The sequence below is a fragment of the Homo sapiens genome, chromosome X, assembly GCF_000001405.40.
Source record: "Homo sapiens chromosome X, GRCh38.p14 Primary Assembly".
NCBI classification, from domain to species: domain Eukaryota; kingdom Metazoa; phylum Chordata; class Mammalia; order Primates; family Hominidae; genus Homo; species Homo sapiens.
In genome coordinates this window covers 47,844,550-47,863,029 of record NC_000023.11, presented here as the reverse complement: position 1 = coordinate 47,863,029, position 18,480 = coordinate 47,844,550, and the positions used below count along the sequence as shown (strand labels likewise).

At 39.6% G+C, this 18,480-nt stretch overlaps 1 protein-coding gene across 6 annotated transcripts in view; it reads right to left on the bottom strand.

Moving 5' to 3' along the window:
• Nucleotides 1-18,480, bottom strand: part of ZNF81 (zinc finger protein 81) — an 88,726-nt gene that overhangs the window by 62,598 nt on the left and 7,648 nt on the right. For all 6 annotated transcript variants that reach the window (NR_165431.1, NM_001378154.1, NM_007137.5 and 3 more), the window contains one exon: nt 16,709-16,925. Coding sequence is in view for 5 of the 6 variants with exons in the window: in NM_001378154.1 (NP_001365083.1) it covers nt 16,709-16,762 (54 nt within the window). In the remaining variant the exon portion in view is untranslated. The remainder of the gene's footprint in view (nt 1-16,708; nt 16,926-18,480) is intronic.

The window sequence follows — 18,480 nt, the reverse complement described above, 5'->3', positions numbered from 1 at the left end:
CTCTCCTTTTGCCTGAACCTGCCAAAACACCTGAGACAGACCCTCTAACGTCCTGTTCTGTGTCTCATGAATGATTAACTGAGATTGGAAGCTTGTTTTCCTGAAACTAGCTAGCCACAAAGATAAACATTTCCCTGTTCAGCTGACTAGGACTTCCCCTGAATGCAAAAACAACAACCCACCTCCACACTGGAACTCTCCCCACTCAAACCTATAAAAGTAAGATTCAAAACCACCCCTCCCAGACACTCTGATCTCCAGATCTGAGGCACTCTCCTTTTGCAGTAGCCTGAATACATTCAATTTCTTACACTGCTTGGATTTTATCTTAACTAATTAAAGACTATCAGTGGGCTGTGAGATCACATTGGAGGTACTCTCACCCTGTGTCCCTGGACTGCTGTGGTTCCTACTTAGGGAGCCCCCTCAGTTTTAAACAACACTTTCTTCCCAGGGTCACCCTGAGATTGTAGTTTTCTTTTTTCTTTTTCTTTTTTTTTTTTTTTGAGACGGAGTCTCTCACTTGTCGCCTGGGCTGGAGTGCAATGGCATGATCTCGGCTCACTGCAACCTCTGCCTCCCAGGTTCATGTGATTCTCTTGCCTCAGCCTTCCGGGTAGCTGGGATTACAGGCACCTGCCACCACGCCCGGCTAATTTTTTTTTGTATTTTTAGTAGAGACGGGGTTTCACTATGTTGGCCAGGCTGGTCTCGAACTCCTGATCCGCCTGCCTCGGACCTCCCAAAGTGCTGGGATTACAGGCATGAGCCACCGCACCCGGCCGAGATTGTACTCTTTGTGTGTAAGTCAGACATTAACTTGTTCCCTCCCAAAATATGGTGATTTGCATCTTGAGTGGGGCTCATTAGAGACCTGCAAGTGTGTAAGGAATCACTACCAGCGGTTCACGTAACCCTCAAATGACTCTTGAGACCTCACCAAAACAAGGCTACCCATTGTTGCTAGGAGGAACTTCCTAGAGGGATAAACTGGCTTGTTATTTATGTGTACCCTGCAAGCAGTTATTCCCATGATAGGAATCATCCAGTTAGAAAAGGTGGTAGCAAATCTGTCCCTGATTTTAGCCGAGGTGATTAATAATGCTACCTTGGCCCTGGAAACATTCTGGTCAGCCTCAACTTGCTGTCCAAGGTCGTTATGGATAATGAAATTGCCCTTTGGGGTCAAGATAGAATTTATGCGATTGCTAATATTAATACATCATGTTACCTGGATTAGGCCTGAAGCCAAGTAGAAAGGTCAAGCCAGAAAGTTAAGGAGAAAAACACCTGGTTTTATCAGGGAGACAGACCTTAATGGTTTATGGGATTTGTTCAGCTGGTTGGGCCTGGAACCCTAAGGGTTACGGTTGAGGAAAATACTGGGGATTGGCCCGGTGTTGCTGGTATTGGCCCAGTATTGGCCAGACTGCTGCTTGGAGCACTGCTGATCAACCCTTAATTAAGTGCTGCATGAGACAAATTGCACAGATTTGGCCCTAGCCTCTGACAGAATAATTAAAGTAACCAGTGGAGTAGTGTACTCATGGGAACATGTGCAGAATCAAAGACAGTGTAGAAACAAGGTGGAGATGTGAGACAGTTCTCTACGGGGCTCTCACATTTCTGCAGATCTTGTGAGGACAGGTACTGATTGCCTGAAAAAGGGAAAAAAACAACTGTTTTTCCTTCCACTCACACAGAACACTTCTGACACCAAATGTGTGGGGTTTTCCACACCGAGCAATTCTTTGCAGACTCTAACAGGTGTTCCATACTTTAATACTGAACTAACTACCCAGTGTTGGAACAGACACTAACAGGTTAAGGCCCAGCCACACAAGACTGTCCCCACTTCAGACACCAATCAGAAGTCCAGGTCTCCTGTACTTCCCACTAATTGGCTATAAATTGGGGATTCCCACAAACTCCTCCTCGGGTTCAATAATTGCTAGAATAGCTCATAGAACTCAGTAAAACACTTATTTACATTTACTGGTTTATTATAAAGAATATTACAAAAGACACAGATGAACAGCCAGATAAACAGCCTGATTAGAACAAAAGATGCTCCTATCACCCAGGAAACTGCATGGGATTAGGAGCTCTGTGTCAAGAACAAGGGTCAAAGACCAAATGTTAGAACAGCAGATGTTCCTAGCACCCCTATCCACATACATAGGGCAAGGTATGTGGGAAGGGGCGCAGAGCTTCTACGTCTTCTCCGGGCGTGCCATCCACCCAGCACCTCCATGTTCACCAATCCTGAAGCTCTCCAAACCACATCTTTTGCAGACTTCAACAGGTGTTCTACAATTTAATACGCCCACAAGTTAAGGTTCAGTCCCACAAGACTGTCCTACTTCAGACACCAATCACAAGTCCAGGCCTCTGTACTTCTGGCCAATTGGCTATAAATCAGGGGTTGGTTTATAGGGATTTTTATGGATACATCATCACATAGGCATGATGATCATCTCAATCTGCAGCCCCTCTTCCCTCCCCAGAGGATGAGGGTGAGGCTGAAAGTTCCAAGCTTCTAATCACAGCTTGGTCTTTCTGGTGATCAGCCCCACTCCTGAAGCTATCCAGGAGCCCATCAAGAATCATCTCATGGTCAGGAGATTGAGACCATCCTGACTAACACGGTGAAACCCCATCTCTACTAAAAAAAAAAATATGAAAAATTAGCCGGGCATGGTGGTGGGCGCCTGTAGTCCCAGCTACTTGGGAGGCTGAGGCAGGAGAATGGCATGAACCCAGGAGGCGGAGCTTGCAGTGAGCCGAGATCACGCCACTGCAATCCAGCCTGGGCAATACAGCGAGATTCCATCTCAAAAAAAAAAAAAAAGGTCATCTCATTAGAACAAAAGATGCTCCTATCACCCAGGAAATTGCATGGGATTAAGAGCTCTGTGTCAAGAACTAGGGTCAAAGACCAAATATTAGAACAACAGATGTTCCTGGCACCCCTATCCACTCAGGAAATTACAAGAATTTTCAGAGCTCTGTGCCAGGAACCAAATATATATATTTTTATTATGCCACACTGCCTTTTGTTCCAGGCCATCTTTTCGAGGATGTTTGCAGAGCAAACAGCCTTGGAAATATATATTGTGTCTCCCTCCAGAGCAAAGGACAAGTTTGCTTACTACTCAGTATAAAAGACTCAGGATACCTAAGCGACCCACTGTGCATCACCTGGCTCTCTTCACGTCACCCTGTAGGAATCAGGACTTGGGGAGCTGGCACAAATGTTAAGACTCTAGCTACCACGACTGCCATGAGTAATAAAGTCCTTTTCTCTAGCCCAGAGTTTCATATCTCTTTTGCCAGCATCCAGGACACTGTCGCAGGCTAACATTAGCTCACAAGTAGGGTAAAAATCTCAGACTGTTCACAGTTCTTGACAGAGTCATAGGAACAAATGTGTGGACCTTATTTGGATTCTGATTTGAAGTCATCAACTTTGAAAAGACATTGACATGACCATTTGAAGTGATTAAAAAAACAAAAAATCAATACAGATATGAATGTCTTTAACAGTTCCTGTCAAAACAGGTAGGAACAAAGAAAGGATTATGGCCAGTAAACAAAATGAAGTGGAAATCAACAAATACTTCAAAATATAATAGGGAAAAAATGACAGAAATATGGAAGAGAGGAAAATCAGTATATAATTTGTTCTTAAAAATTGACCCAGGCAAGTTGAACTGATAAGCCTTCAAATACAAGGCTGAAGGAAAACTAATAAAAGAATTATTGAAATAACATATACAAATCTTGTCACTACTCAAGGTGGACAGTTAATAGTGTTATAATAATTAGAATATTAATTATAATTTATAAAATTAATGTTATAAAGGTAACCACTTAAAGAACCAAAAAAAGAATTTAAACCTTTCTTTTCCTTTCTTTTCTTTCTTTTTTTTTTTTTGAGACGGAGTTTGGCTCTTGTTGCCCAGGCTGGAGTGCAATAGTGCGATCTTGCCTCACCGCAACTTCTGCCTCCTGGGTTCAAGCAATTCTCTCCTGCCTCAGCCTCCCAAGTAGCTGGGATTACAGGCATGTGCCACCACGCCCGGCTAATTTTGTATTTTTAGTAGAGACGGGGTTTCACCATGTTGGTCAGGCTGGTCTCAAACTCCCGACCTCAGGTGATCTGCCTGCCTCGGCCTCCCAAAGTGCTGGGATTACAGGTGTGAGCCACCACGCCCAGCCGACCCTTTCAAATTATTAGAAAGAACAAAAAACAAAGCAAAATAGAGCATATAGTGAAACATATTAAAAAGAAACATTAAAATTAGAAAGTATAATATAAAACACATCTTTCACATATTATATAGAAAAATGAACAAAGATTCAGAATGATGGTAAAAGGATAAGCAAAGGTGTATCAGAAAAAGCCAAAAGAAGGGAAGCAAGGCCTCCATCTTAATATCAACCAGAGTAGAATTCCAGGGCAAAAGAATGAAACAAGACAAAGGAAGACACTTTATAAAGATAAAAGACTCAATCTAAAATAAAGGATTCTGAACATCATCAGTGTATAAGGAAGTCCCAAAAGAAAGGAGGCATGGTCTCCATCTTAATCAGCCAGAGACGAATTCTGGAAAAGTATAAGACAAGACAAAGGAAGATGACTTATAAGGGACTCATTCCCAAATGAAGAGTTCTGGCTGTTCTTAATCAGCCTTCACTACTTCAGTGACAATCCCTAGGGTGAGTTTGGGGAAGGAACTGGAAGTGTGGGATGCTTGACTTTGATACTTTTTAAAATCAAGAATGGATGTTGAAATTTTGTGACATTGCTTTTCTCTGATGATATGTTAATATGGTGGATTATAGATTTTATAATATTGGACCACGTGGTCAGAATGAGTGACTTTTAAAGGAATTGATGGATTCTGCTTGATGATATTTCATTTATAACAGTTCCATCACTATTCATGAGTGAGGCTGATCTGTAAGTGCTGATGTTCTCTTTGGCAGGCTGTTATACCACAACATTAGGTAAAAAGTATGAGACCCTTGGTAGTAAGAATGGCAGCTTACAGAATAAAAGGGGAATAATTGAGGGTCAGGGGTTGGCATAATTGAGATTCCCAAGACCTGCAAAGAAGTGTACCACAGAGATTATAGGAGAGTAACCCCCAGCCTCGCCCCAGTTTGAGGAAATGTGTCCCTGGCCCAAAACCCACCTAACAGGAGAAGACATTAAACTGTTTTGCAAGTCACAGGTTTTGTCAGTGAGCTTGCAGGAATTACTTATTCCTCTGGTGAAACGCCTTGGCTGGGAGTGGATAAGGGGTCAAGGGCAGATTTTTTCAGATGGAAAATATTTCTGCATGTTGCATGCTTGTGAGAATGGCCCAGCATAGAAGGGGAAAAGTGATGTGATAGGAAAGAGAGGAGATAACTGGAAGGGAGGGGAAAGGGTTCAGTGGAAAGATCATTTCTAACAGGAAGGAAAGTTCATGGGTATAGGAAAGGAATAAATGGACATTCAAATCTATAATTTTCCGTCCACCTGTAAGTTTAGCTTTACTGCATAAACCTTGAAATGTGCCTCTTGATGTTTACTTGTATGTATTTTGTAAGGTGATTTATGCTTTCTCTTTAAACATATTTATGTAAAATATTTTAATGTGCATAGGGAATATTTATTTTTCACTAGCTGCTTACTTTTTATTTTTAATTTCATGCTTTCATGCTCTGTGTGATGATCCATATTACAGCAAAGTTTTAAAATTTTTTTTTCTTTGCTTCATCATCTAGTTTCTGAAAAAGGCTGGGTTAAAGTGGCTAGTGGTACAATTAACTATTTCACCTAGTTTAAATTTTACATAGTTTAAGGATATATCATTAGCTATATATGTGTTGATAAATGTTATAATTCTTGGTATTTCACAGTTTGAAGAACCATCTACTTTCATACCTTGCAAAGTTTTTCACCTTATATTCCCTCTGCTCAGGTTTTAAAATTGCAGCCACAGGCTTCTATTGGTGTTTTTTGGCCAAGTCTATCATTTTCTGTCCCTTCATTTTCATATTTTCTGGGTCTTTTAATTTTTTTCTTTTTTCGAGAAGGAGTCTCGCTGTATCACGCAGGCTGCAGTGCAGTGGCATGATTTCAGCTCACTGCAACCTCTGCCAACCTCTGTCTCCCAGGTTCAAGCAATTCTCCTGCTTCAGCCTCCCGAGTAGCTGGGATTACAGGTGAGCACCATCTAATTTTTCTATTTTTAGTAGAGATGGGGTTTCGCCATGTTGGCCAGGCTGGTCTAGAAATCCTGACCTCAGGTGATCCACCCGCCTCGGCCTCCCAAAGTGCTGAGATTACAGGTATGAGCCACCGCGCCCGGCTGGGTCTTTTAATTTCAAATGTAACTCACATTTATAAAATAATGCTGGACCTTTGGGAATTTTTCAGTTGTTTTTTCCTATCTGCTGACGATGTTTTTCTTTTAATGAATGATTTTAAGCCATATGTAATTATTGGAACACTAGGATGGATTTCTGCTATTTAAATATTTCTTTTGGTTTCCTTTAATTTCCTTGGCACATAAAATTTTTGGTGTTTTCCCCCTTAATGCTCATTTGAAAATTACTATTCATTCTACATTTAGTCTTATCACTCATCCCAACATAAGACCAGAATTCTATGCATGTTTCTCTCCCAAAGTCTATCAATATCTATATTCTTCTGAAAAAGAGTAAGAGAATCATAGGATTCTTTGCTTTTCCTTTCACTTACTTTCTTTCAACTATCTCTTCTGTGGGAATAATTGTAATTTTAGTTTCAATTTATAATGATATACATTCATATATATTTGCATTTTTTCCATTTAGAAAATAGAAACAAAAACTGATGTCAAAACATTTTTGAAGAAAATGTTAACACATTAACGGGAAATGCAAAGATTACTTGAAAAAAGCAAACATACTCAATTCTTTTTTTTTTTTTTTTTTTTTTTTTTTGAGGCAGAGTCTCACTATGTCACCCAGGCTGGAGTGCAGTGGCGTGATCTCGGCTCACTGCAACCTCCACCTCCTGGATCCAAGTGATTCTTGTGCCTCAGCCTCCTGGGTAGGTGGGATTACAGGCGTGCACCATCACGCCTGGCTAATTTTTGTATTTTTAGTAGACACAGAGTTTCACTGTGTTGGCCAGGCTGGTCTCAAACTCCTGACCTCAAGTGATCCACCTGCCTCGGCTTCTCTAAGTGCTGGTATTACAGGCATAAGCCACCACACCCAGCCCATACTCAATTCTTTAGTAGGAAATCTGAATTATCATAAAGAAGCAAATGGCCCTATCTTAGATATAAGTTTAATGCAAGTTTATTTACAATGGCAATATAATTATTTTTAAATTTGGTAAGTAAATTATAAATTGTGTACAAAAAAGAAAACAATCAAGAAAACAGTAAATTCCTGAAAAAAAGGGTAATCAGAGACAGCCCTACCATCTATTAGAAGAAATAACAAATATAGAGGAATTAGAATAATAAAGATTATGACTATTAGCTCAATGGAACAGGATAAGGTCCAGAAATATACCCAATATACTCAGAGTTATATCTTGGAATGTATGTATAGGCATACATGGTTTCATTGCACTTTACTGCACTTCAGAGATATTGTGTTTCTCGTAAACTGCAGGTTTGTGGCAACCCTGATAGAGCAAGTCTATTGGGACCATCTGTACAACAGCATGTGCTTACTTCATGTCTCTGTGTCAGATTTTGGTAATCCTCACAATATTGTAAACATTTTCATTATTATTATATCTGTTTCTTCTCTTTTTTTTAAGGTGGAAGATTTGGGGGTTTTTTTATTTTTATTTAATTAATTAATTAATTTATTTATTTTTTTGATTGTTAGAATTTTTTTTATTATACTTTAAGTTTTAGGGTACATATTTTTTTAGTTTGAGACAGAGTCTCACTGTGTCGCCCATGCTGGAGTGCAGTGGCATGATCTCGGCTCACTGCAACCTCTGCCTCCCGGGTTCAAGCAATTCTCTGCTTCAGCCTCCCGAGTAGCTAGGATTATAGGCACCTGCCACCACACCCGGCTAATATTTTGTATTTTTAGTAGAGACGGGGTTTCACCATCTTGGCCAGGCTGGTCTCGAACTCCTGACCTCGTGATCTGCCCACCTTGGCCTCCCAAAGTGCTGAGATTACAGGCGTGAGCCGCCGCGCCCGGCCTATTATTATATCTGTTATGGTACTCTGTGATCAGTGATCTTTGATGTTACTATTGTCGTTGTCTCAGGGCACCACGAACCATGCGCATAGAAGATGGTGAACTGAATTGATAAATGCTGTGTGTGATCTGACTGCTCCACCTACTGGCCCGTTCCCTGTCTCTCCCTCTCCTCGGGCCTCCCTATTCCCTGAGACACAACAATATTGAAATTAGGCCAATTAATAACCCTCAGTGGTCTCTAAGTGTTCAAGTGAAAGGAAGAGTCACATGTCTCTCCCTTTAAATCAAAAGCTAGACATGATTGAGCTTATTGAGGAAGGCCTGTTGAAAGCCAAGCTAGGCTAAAAAGCTAGGCTTCTTGCACCAGTCAGACAAGTTGTGAATGCAAAGGAAAAATTCTTAAAGGAAATTAAAAGTCCTACTCCAGTGAACACATGAAAGATAAGAAAGTGAAACAGGTTTATTGCTGATATGGAGAAAGTTTGAGTGGTCTGGAAAGAAGACCAAACCAGCCACAACATTCCCTTAATTAAACCAAAGCCTACTCAAAAGCACAAGACCTGAACTCTCTTCAATTCTGCGAAGCTTGAGAGAGGTGAGGAAGCTGCTGAAGCAAAGTTTGAAGCTAGCAGAGGTTGGTTCGTGAGGCTTAAGGAAAGAAGCCATCTCCATAACATAAAAGTACAAGGTGAAGTAGCAAGTGCTCAAGTGCTAACATAGAAGCTGTATGCAGCAAGTTATCCAGAAGATCTAGCTAAAATCATTGATGAAGATGGCTACACTAAACAACAGATTTTCAATGCAGATTAAACAGCCTTATATTGGAAGAACATGCCAGCTAGGACTTTCATAGCTAGAGAAGAGAAGTAAATGCCTGAAGTAAATGCCTGGCTTCAAACCTTCAAAGGACAGGCTGACTCTCTTGTTAGGGATTAATGCAGCTGGTTACTTTAAGTTGAAGCCAGCCAGCCATGGTGGCTCACACCAGTAATCCCAGCACTTTGGGAGGCTAAGGTGGGAGGACTGCTCGAGGCCAGGAGTTTGAGATCAGTCCTGGCAACAGAGCAAGACCCCATCTCTTAAAAAAAAAAATTTAAAAATTAGCCAGGCATGGTGGCACATGCCTGTAGTCCCAGCTACTCAGGAGGCTGAGGTAGGATTGTTTGAGCCCAGGACCTCAAGGTTACAGTGAGCTATGATAACGTCACTGCACTCCAGCTTGACTGACACAATGAGACCCTGTCTCAAACAAACAAACAACAACAAAAAAGGTGAAGCCAATGCTCATTTACCATTCTGTAAATCCTAAGATCCTTAAGAATTATGCCAAATCGGCCGGGCACGGTGGCTCACGCCTGTAACCCCAGCACTTTGGGGGGCCAAGGCAGGCAGATCACGAGGTTAAGAGATCGAGACCATCCTGGCCAACATGGTGAAACCCTGTCTCTACTAAAAATACAAAAATTAGCTGGGCGTGGTGGCGTGTGTCTGTAGTCCCAGCTACTCGGGAGGCTGAGGCAGGAGAATCGCTTGAACCCAGGAGGCAGAGGCGAGGTTGCAGTGAGCCGAGATCGCACCACTGCACTCCAGCCTGGTAACAGAGCGAGACTCCATCTCAAAAAAAAAAAAAAGAATTATGGAACAACAAAGCCTGGATGACAGCACATCTGTTTACAGCATAGTTTACTGAATATTTTAAGACCACTGTTGACACCTATTGCTAGAAAAAAAGATTTTTTACAAAATATCACTGCTCACTGACAATGCACCTGGTCACCAAAGAGCTCTGATGGAGATATACAAGGAGATTCATGTTGTTTTCATGCCTGTTAACACAACATGATTCTGGAGCCCATAGATCAAAGAGTAATTTCAACTTTCAAGTCTTATTTAAGAAATACGTTTTGTAAGACTATAGCTGCCACAGATGGTGATTCCTTGGATGAATCTGGGCAAAGTAAATTGAAAACCTCCTGTAAACGGTTCATCATTCTAGAAGCCATTAAGAACACTCATGATTCATGGGAGGAGGTTAAAATATCAGCAATAACAGAAGTCTGGAAAGACTGGATTCCAATCCTCATGGATGACTTTCAGGGGTTCAAGACGCCACTAGAGGAAATAGCTACAGAGATGGTGGAAATAGCGAGAGAACTAGAAGTGAAGCCTGAAGATGTGACTGAATTGCTGCCATCTCATGATAAAACTTTAACGGATGAGGAGTTTTTTCTTATGGATAAGCCAAGAACATGATTTCTTGAGACAGAATCTACTCCTAGTGAAGATGCTGTGGACAGTGTGGAAATGACAGCAAGTGATTTAGAATATTACATAAACTGAAAGAAAGCAGGGGCAGGGTTTGAGACGATTGACTCCAATTTTGAAAGGATTTCTACTGTGGGTAAAATGCTATCAAACAGTGTTGTATACTACAGAGAAATCTTTCAGGAAGGAAAGTGTTCATTGATGTGGCAAACTTCATTGTTGTCTTATTTTTAAAAATTGCTATAGCCACCCCAGTGTTCAGCAACCACCACCCCGATCGGTCAACAGCCATCAGCATCAAGGCAAGACCTTTCATCAGCAAAAAGATTATGACCCACCAAAGGCTCATGTGATTGTTACCATTTTGTAGTAGTATTTTTAAATTAAGGTATATACACTGTTTTTAGACATAATGCTATTGTACACTTAATAGACTATAGCATACTATAAACATAACTTTTATGTGGGAAGCCACAAAATTTGTATGACTCTCTTTACTGAGATACTCGCTTTATTGCAGTGGTCTGGAATCGAACCCGCAATATCTCCAAGGTATGCCTGTATATGCTAATGTAGTATTGCATGTTAGTGGGGAAAATATAGATTATTCAATAAATGGTATTGGGACAAATGTGTAGGCATCTTGAAGAAAAATTAAGACAGATCTCTGGCTAAGGCTTTACAACAATAGCAAAAAGAATCCAGCTAGTTGCAGCAGTAAAAGTAAAAAATAAAAACAATTAAGTATTAAACAGAAAATGTAAGGGTTTTTTTCCCAAATACAGCTGAGCAATGAGGAACAATGAGGAAGGCTTTTCTAGTTGATACAAAACTTGGAGAACAGAAAAGATTCATAAACAATGCACAGAGAAAACACTAACATTTTCATTTAAAAGACAAATGGGAAGTTGGGGAAAATAACTGGGACACATGTAACATCCTTCCATAAATAGCAACACCCTAATAGAAAAATGGGAAAAGGAAATTTTAAAATGTCTCAGAAAAAAATCATATAAATGGCTCTTTAAACACAGTCACATATATTCAACCTCAGCCATAAGAGAAATGTAAATTAAATCTATACTGAGATACTGTGTTGTAACCTATCAGACTGACCAAAAAGAAAAAATGAATATGACAAGACACTGTGTTGCTTGGGTATGGTGAAAACAGACACTCATACAACTGACACAACCCACGAGGCAGGCAATTTTTCCATATCCATTAAGAATAAAAATGTGTAAACAAAACAAAACAAAAAGAGTAAAAATGTATATATCATCTGTCCTGGGAATTCTACTTGGAGAAATTTCTCTCTAAACATACTCTCTCTTGTGTTAACTAAGATTTGTATAAGGATATTCATTGCAGTGTTGTGTACAATTGCAAAAGATTAGAAACCATTTAAATGTCTATTAATAGAAAACTGGTTAGCATATTTTGATATATTCATATAATAGAATAAGACGTAGCCTTGTAAAGGAATGAGGTAACTCATTACATGTAGTGACACTGAATAATCACCAAGCTTTATTGTTAAGGGAGAAAAGCAAGTGCTGGAAATTTTGTATGCTAATATTTCAGTTTAAAAATGGATATAGGGGTGTTGGGTTGTGTGTGTGTGTGTGTGTGTGTGTGTGTGTGTGTGTGTGTGTGCGCGCGTGCCTGTGAATGAGTGCACGTGTTTGTATGGACAGACTATCTGTAGCTGCCTTGGGAAAGAATATATAGGCCACTGGGGTCAAAATTGGAGGGTACTTTTTTTCTTTTCAAAAGATTATTATTATTAAATATAATATTCATGCAGAAAAACATATGAAACAAATATTCACCTTAACTAATCATTTGAAGCAAATACCAACCTAATTACCACCACAATCTGGAAATAGAACATGGCCAGCTCCCTGGCCGGAAGCCTTACTCATGCCTCTTTCCCTCCCTCCCTGCAACGCCCCTGGTCAAGGAAGCCACTATTCTGCCTCAGATGGTGAGCACTTCCTCACTTTGCTTTCAAGTTTTATCACCTACAAATGTACCCCTCTATACTATATGCTTTTGCTTTTCCTGTCTTAAAACTTCATATAAATTGAAATAAACACAACAAATTCTTTGGTGTCTACCTTCTTTCACTCAATATTATGTTCAATGTATTTATCCATTCTATTTTTAAAATTTTTCTTTCTTTTTTTTTTTTTTTTTTAAGAGATGGGTCTCATTATGTTGCCCAGGCTGGTCTTGAACTCCTGGTCTCTAATGATCTTCCTGCCTCAGCTTCTCAAAGTGTTGGGATTACAAGTATGAGCTGTCACACCTGGCCCCACTCTATTATTGATGGTCATTTGCATTATTTCCAGTTTCTGGCTGTTACAAGTAATGCTACAGTGAGCATTTATACATGTGTCCTGGTACATCAGCCAAGGATTTCTGGTGGGTGTTTTCCTAGAACTGTTTCCTCATATGGTCTACATATGTACGGATGAATAAGGCTAAAAGGTCCCCAGAGATTGTGTCAATTTACATTCTCATGAGCAGTGCTCCTCCTCCTAACACTTGTCATTGTACTTGTCATTGTCAGTGTTCTAAATTATAGCCATTCTAGTGGTGGTGGTAAGGGGTAGTTGTATTACATTGTGGTTTAAATTTGCATTTCCCTGATGAATAATGAGATTGAGCACTGTCTCACGTGTCTATTAGCCATCTGAATATCTTCATCTGTTACATATCTGTTCAAGAAGGCCTCTGACTAGTGGGTATTCTGCTTTTTCTTGTTGTTTTGTTGTTCTTGATATATTCTGGGTATAAGTCCTCTGTTGTTTATATCTTCTCCCACTCTATGGATTGCGATTTTCTTCTTCTTCTTCTTTTTTTTTTTTTTGAGACGGAGTCTCGCTCTTGTCACCCAGACTGGAGTGCAGTGGCGCGATCTTAGCTCACTGCAACCTCCGCCTCCTGGGTTCAAATGATTCTCCTGCCTCAGCCTTCCAAGTAGCTGGGATTACAGGCACCTACCACCATGCCTGGCTAATTTTTGTATTTTTAGTAGAGACAGGGTTTCACCATGTTGGACAGGCTAGTCTCGAACTCCTGACTGACCTCAGGTGATCCACCCGCCTCAGCCTCCTGAAGTGCTGGGATTACAGGTGTGAGCCACCGCGCCCAGCTGTGATTTTCTTCTTAAAGGAAGTGATTATCATAAAAGTCAGGGTAGTAGTTAGCTCTGGGAGTAGAGGGATTGTGGAATGCTAACTATGGACTCTTTCTAGGCCTATGGAAGGATAACTCATTCGGCCATACATGTCTGTTCTGTATGCTTTTCTGTATGTATGTTACATTTCACAATAAAAACGTTTTTAAGACATAACTATGACCCATTAACTTCACCCCCCTGTATATATTTAAGAGAGGGTATACACATGTGCATGGAGACATGAAGAATGTTCCTAGCAGCATTGCTTATAATTCATATTATATTTCACTGAAATATTTTAAATTAACAAAAATTGATAAAAATTTCTTTAATTGGCTACCTTCTGTGACATAAAAAGGAGAAAATAAGAATGTGTTCTCAGCTGCTGTTATCTGCATAAAGAAACCCTAATCATACAGAGAAAAACTAACCTGGTTTTATGTATTAGAGAGAGCTGAGCAGACAGGAGAAAGATGGGTAAGAGAATTTAGACCATGGAGCTTGAGTAGCCCTTATCCGAAATGCTTGGGATTAGAAGTATTTGGGATTTTGGACTTTTTTTTCAGATTTTAGAATATCTGCATTATACTTAGGTTGGGCATCCCTAATCTGAAAATCCAAAATCCAAATGGGCATTTCCTTTGAATGTCATGTCAGTGCTCAAAAAGTTTTGGATTTTGAAGCATTTTGGATTTTGGATTTTTGGATTAGGGATACTCAACCTGTATAGCTTTTTATATGTCTTTAATTATTTGAGCCATTTTTTCTATATTACTATTCAAAAAATTAAGTTGTCAAAAAAACTACTACTAATGTCTTTAGAATGATATGATGCTGCATCCATAAAACAAAAATAGCACGGGAATATTCTGAAGACAAAAAGAGCTACTTAAAAGAAAAAATATAACAGCATTAATGAGAGACACAAAAGAAGATTTGGAAGATAAAGTTTTTAAAAAGTACTACTAGAAGGAGGAACAAAAGAGATAGAAATGGAAATCAGTAAAGCAAATAATTTTTACAAAGGAGCATCGACAACCAAATAAAAAGAGTTTTAGAAAAGCAGAGAAAATGTACATGTGAGTAGAAAAGGCCTAGGAAGACTTTGGAAACAGGCTTTCAAATTGGGCATAAAAATGATTTCTAGGCCGGGCATGGTGGCTCACGCCTGTAATTCCAGCACTTTGGGAGGCCGAGGCGGGCAGATCACGAGGTCAGGAGATCGAGACCATCCTGGCTAACACGGTGAAACCCCGTCTCTACTAAAAATACAAAAAAATTAGCCTGGTGTGGTGGCGGGTGCCTGTAGTCCCAGCTAGTCGGGAGGCTGAGGCAGGAGAATGGTGTGAACCCAGGAGGTGGAGCTTGCAGTGAGCCGAGATTGTGCTACTGCACTCCAGCCTGGGCAACAGAGCAAGACTCCGTCTAAAAAAAAAAAAAAATTATTTCTAATCTAGAATTCTATTCTCAGCCAAAAAGACAAATTTAGTGTCAGGATCAAATAGGTATATTTCCATGGCATTCATATTTATATTTCTACACATAAATTTATACAGTTATATGTATTCAGTAAATATATTTCTGCATGACATTTTCAGACATGCAAAGTTTCATAAAATGTACCTGTCATGCATCCATTTGCAAGGATGTGCTCCCCACAAAATGAAGGGGTAAGCCAAGGAAGATGAAGACACAAGCTCCAGGAAACAGATCTGACCCAAGAGAGAAGTCAAGGGGATTTCCTGGGAGATGGTGAAGGGAAGACACCAAGGTAACAGCTCTGTATCAAACTGAGAAAGACACCAGTCCAGACTTTAGCAAGTCAAGCTCCAGGAGAGATTTCTTCAAAGAGAAGACAGTGATGCCCAGAAGTGAGAGCAGCCCCACCTATTACTGGCTATTTACTGTGTAAACCTGGGCCAAATGGTTTTCCCCTATGCCCCAGTTTTCTCCTCTATGACATGGGGATAATAATGGCACCTACTGGGCATGGCGGCTTGGACCTGTAGTCCCAGCTACTTGGGAGGCTGAGGTAGGAGGATCACTTGAGCCCAGGAGTTCGAGGTTGCAGTAAGCTATGATCGTGCCACTGCGCTTCAACCTGGGCAACAGAGTGAGACCCTGTCTCTAAAGATAATAATGGCACCTACTTCATGAGGTTGTTGTGAAGATGGGTGAACACACGTAGAGTACGTGTAACAGTGCTTGGCATGCAGTAAATGTTGTATGACTGCTTTTAATTATTATCACTGTGATTAATACCTAATATGTTTGAATATATAGAAAGGAGATTTAACACCAGGGAAGAATTTGGAGTTAAATGATTGATGTGTATATAGTAACACAAACAAATGACTGAGACAGAAAATTGTTAATTCCAGGGAAAAGAAAAAAGTTGTGCCGAAATAGTCATCACAGCATAGATACCATGGGATTCAATGATCAACACTGACCATGAATCTCACCAAAACAATGATATACCTGTCTTAGGGAGGTGGAGTTAGGAAATGTGTATGTGAGTAGGGGTGTAAAGAAAAGCTCAATCTCTATCTTCCATAGTGGAAAGCCAATAGATAACACCCAAAACATTCTTTAAAACTATTAAAAAGAGTAAGGGTGCTTGCTTCTGGGCAGCTGGAATCTGGTGGAAAACAAAGCATGGAAGAGCTTTTTTTTTTCTTTAAACAAGACTTAGAGAACTATTTGATACCTTTACCACTTGTAAATGAAACTAAGAGCTAATTGCAAATTACGAAGTGACAACAAATATTCATAAAAATATGCAAGAATGATAAAGGGCTATTAACCTAAATATTTTCAAAAGCCTCTTTTAAAATCCATAAGCTAAGATAAATAAATCAGCAATGGACAGGAGAAGGAAATTCACAAAAGGGAAATAAATGACCAATAAAAATGAGGGTGGGGGGAAATTTTCCTGCCTGCTAAAAAAAGTACTAGAAATGAAAACTATGAGGTAGTATCTTTCCTTCAGGGCTGTGGATGAATTCCAATCCCTGGGCACCTCTTCCTCCTCCTCACCTCACAGGCACTGCCATGTTCCCCTGGCTGGGGAGCGTCCTCGTTAGCTGGCATGTTCCCGACGGACTTGGACTTCAGCCCTGGGGCTTTCTTGCTGACAACTTTATAATTCCAGTGGGATCGGTGGACTCAACGGGGACTGCTGGGGTCAGAAGGAAGATCCTGCAGCTTTCACTGTGAGATCTGGCCCAGGGACTCCGCAGAGACTCCAAGAACTCTGGAAAGACAGTGTCCATATGATCAGAGGCAGATAGCACTTACTACACAGACATCTCCTGGGGGAACCAAAGTACAGTTCACTGCACTGGATACTGTGAAGTAGATAAAGTCCAAGAAACACATATTCTGCTTATCAATTAAAATAGAATATGAGCAAGAGCATGAGATTTGGACTAAAATTAATAAAGGTTTAAATTCTAGCTCTGCCAACTTTTAGCTATGAGAACATGAAAAAGCTGCTTCAGGTTTATTTTTCAAAATGAATTTGAAATATTTATCTCAAGTGGTTATGAAAATTAGATGAGATTATGTTTCAATGGTACTTAGCGCTGAACTGGCCCCAGGTAAACACTTAATACATGTTACCAAGTATTGTTATAAGGAAGCATGTAATAGCAGGTAATTTACACAACAATCCTTTCATCTGTGTGTTGTTATAATCATTATTATTTCATTTTATGCACACAGAATTAGAGGTTTAGTGGTGTTAAGTCAAACCCAGTCTACCAAGGCTCCAAAGTTCACGCCCTCAAAGTTATATCATATGATACCTTTTCCATGGTAGGTTCAAAATAAATGTGGTTCTGTTTAACAGATGTTGAAAATATGACCCTGAATTCAGAATAAAAAAGTTAAGTAAAATTTCTTGAAACAGAAGAGACATGCTATAAGAAAAATATTAATAGCCTGGGACTAAAGTTTTTTAATTAACTCAAAAATATCCAGAGGTAAAACTGTTTCCTCGTTGAGGGAACTAGGGAGGAGAGGGTGTCTCTGTGTCCAAGTTGAGGTACAATTTTATTCTGATCAATTATTAGAGGCACTGTAGATTTAGTCATTCTTGTTAAGAAAGGAAAAATATCTACTTAAAAAAGAGGAACTTAAGACAATGGAAGTAAGAATGGGATGAAGAGGAAAAGAGAAAGTAAAATAAATAAAGAGTAAAATAAAATAAAAGGCATGAACAAGTTAAATTTTAAAAACATAAAAAGGATGTTATACCAAAACAAGAGGGAAAACATACTTTATTCTCTTATAGTAATGGAACTTTTACAAAATTCCTTCAAATAACTTGGCCACCAAAAAATCTGATAAATGTTTTAATGTTGGGAATTGACAGGTTTACATTCTCTGATCGTAACATAAGATGTTCAACAACATCAGTCATTAGGAAAATGCAAATCAAAACCAAAATCTTTCATGTATTAGGAGACCATGTCACATCCACTAAAATGGCTAACATAAGAAGAAAAGACAGTAACAAGTGTTGGTGAGCTGTGAATAAATTGGGGCTCTCATACATTGCTGGTTGGATTGTAAAATGGTGCACTCATTCTGAAAAACAGTTTGGCAGTTTCTCAAAATATCAACCATAAAGTCACCATATAACCCAGAAATTCCACTCATAGATATCTATGCAAGAGAAATTTTTAAAAACCCATGTCCATTCCAAAACTTGTATACAAATATTTACAGCAGCATTATTCATAGCAGCCAAAAAGTAGAAACAATCCAAATGTTTGATGTCAATTGATGAATGGATAAACAAAATT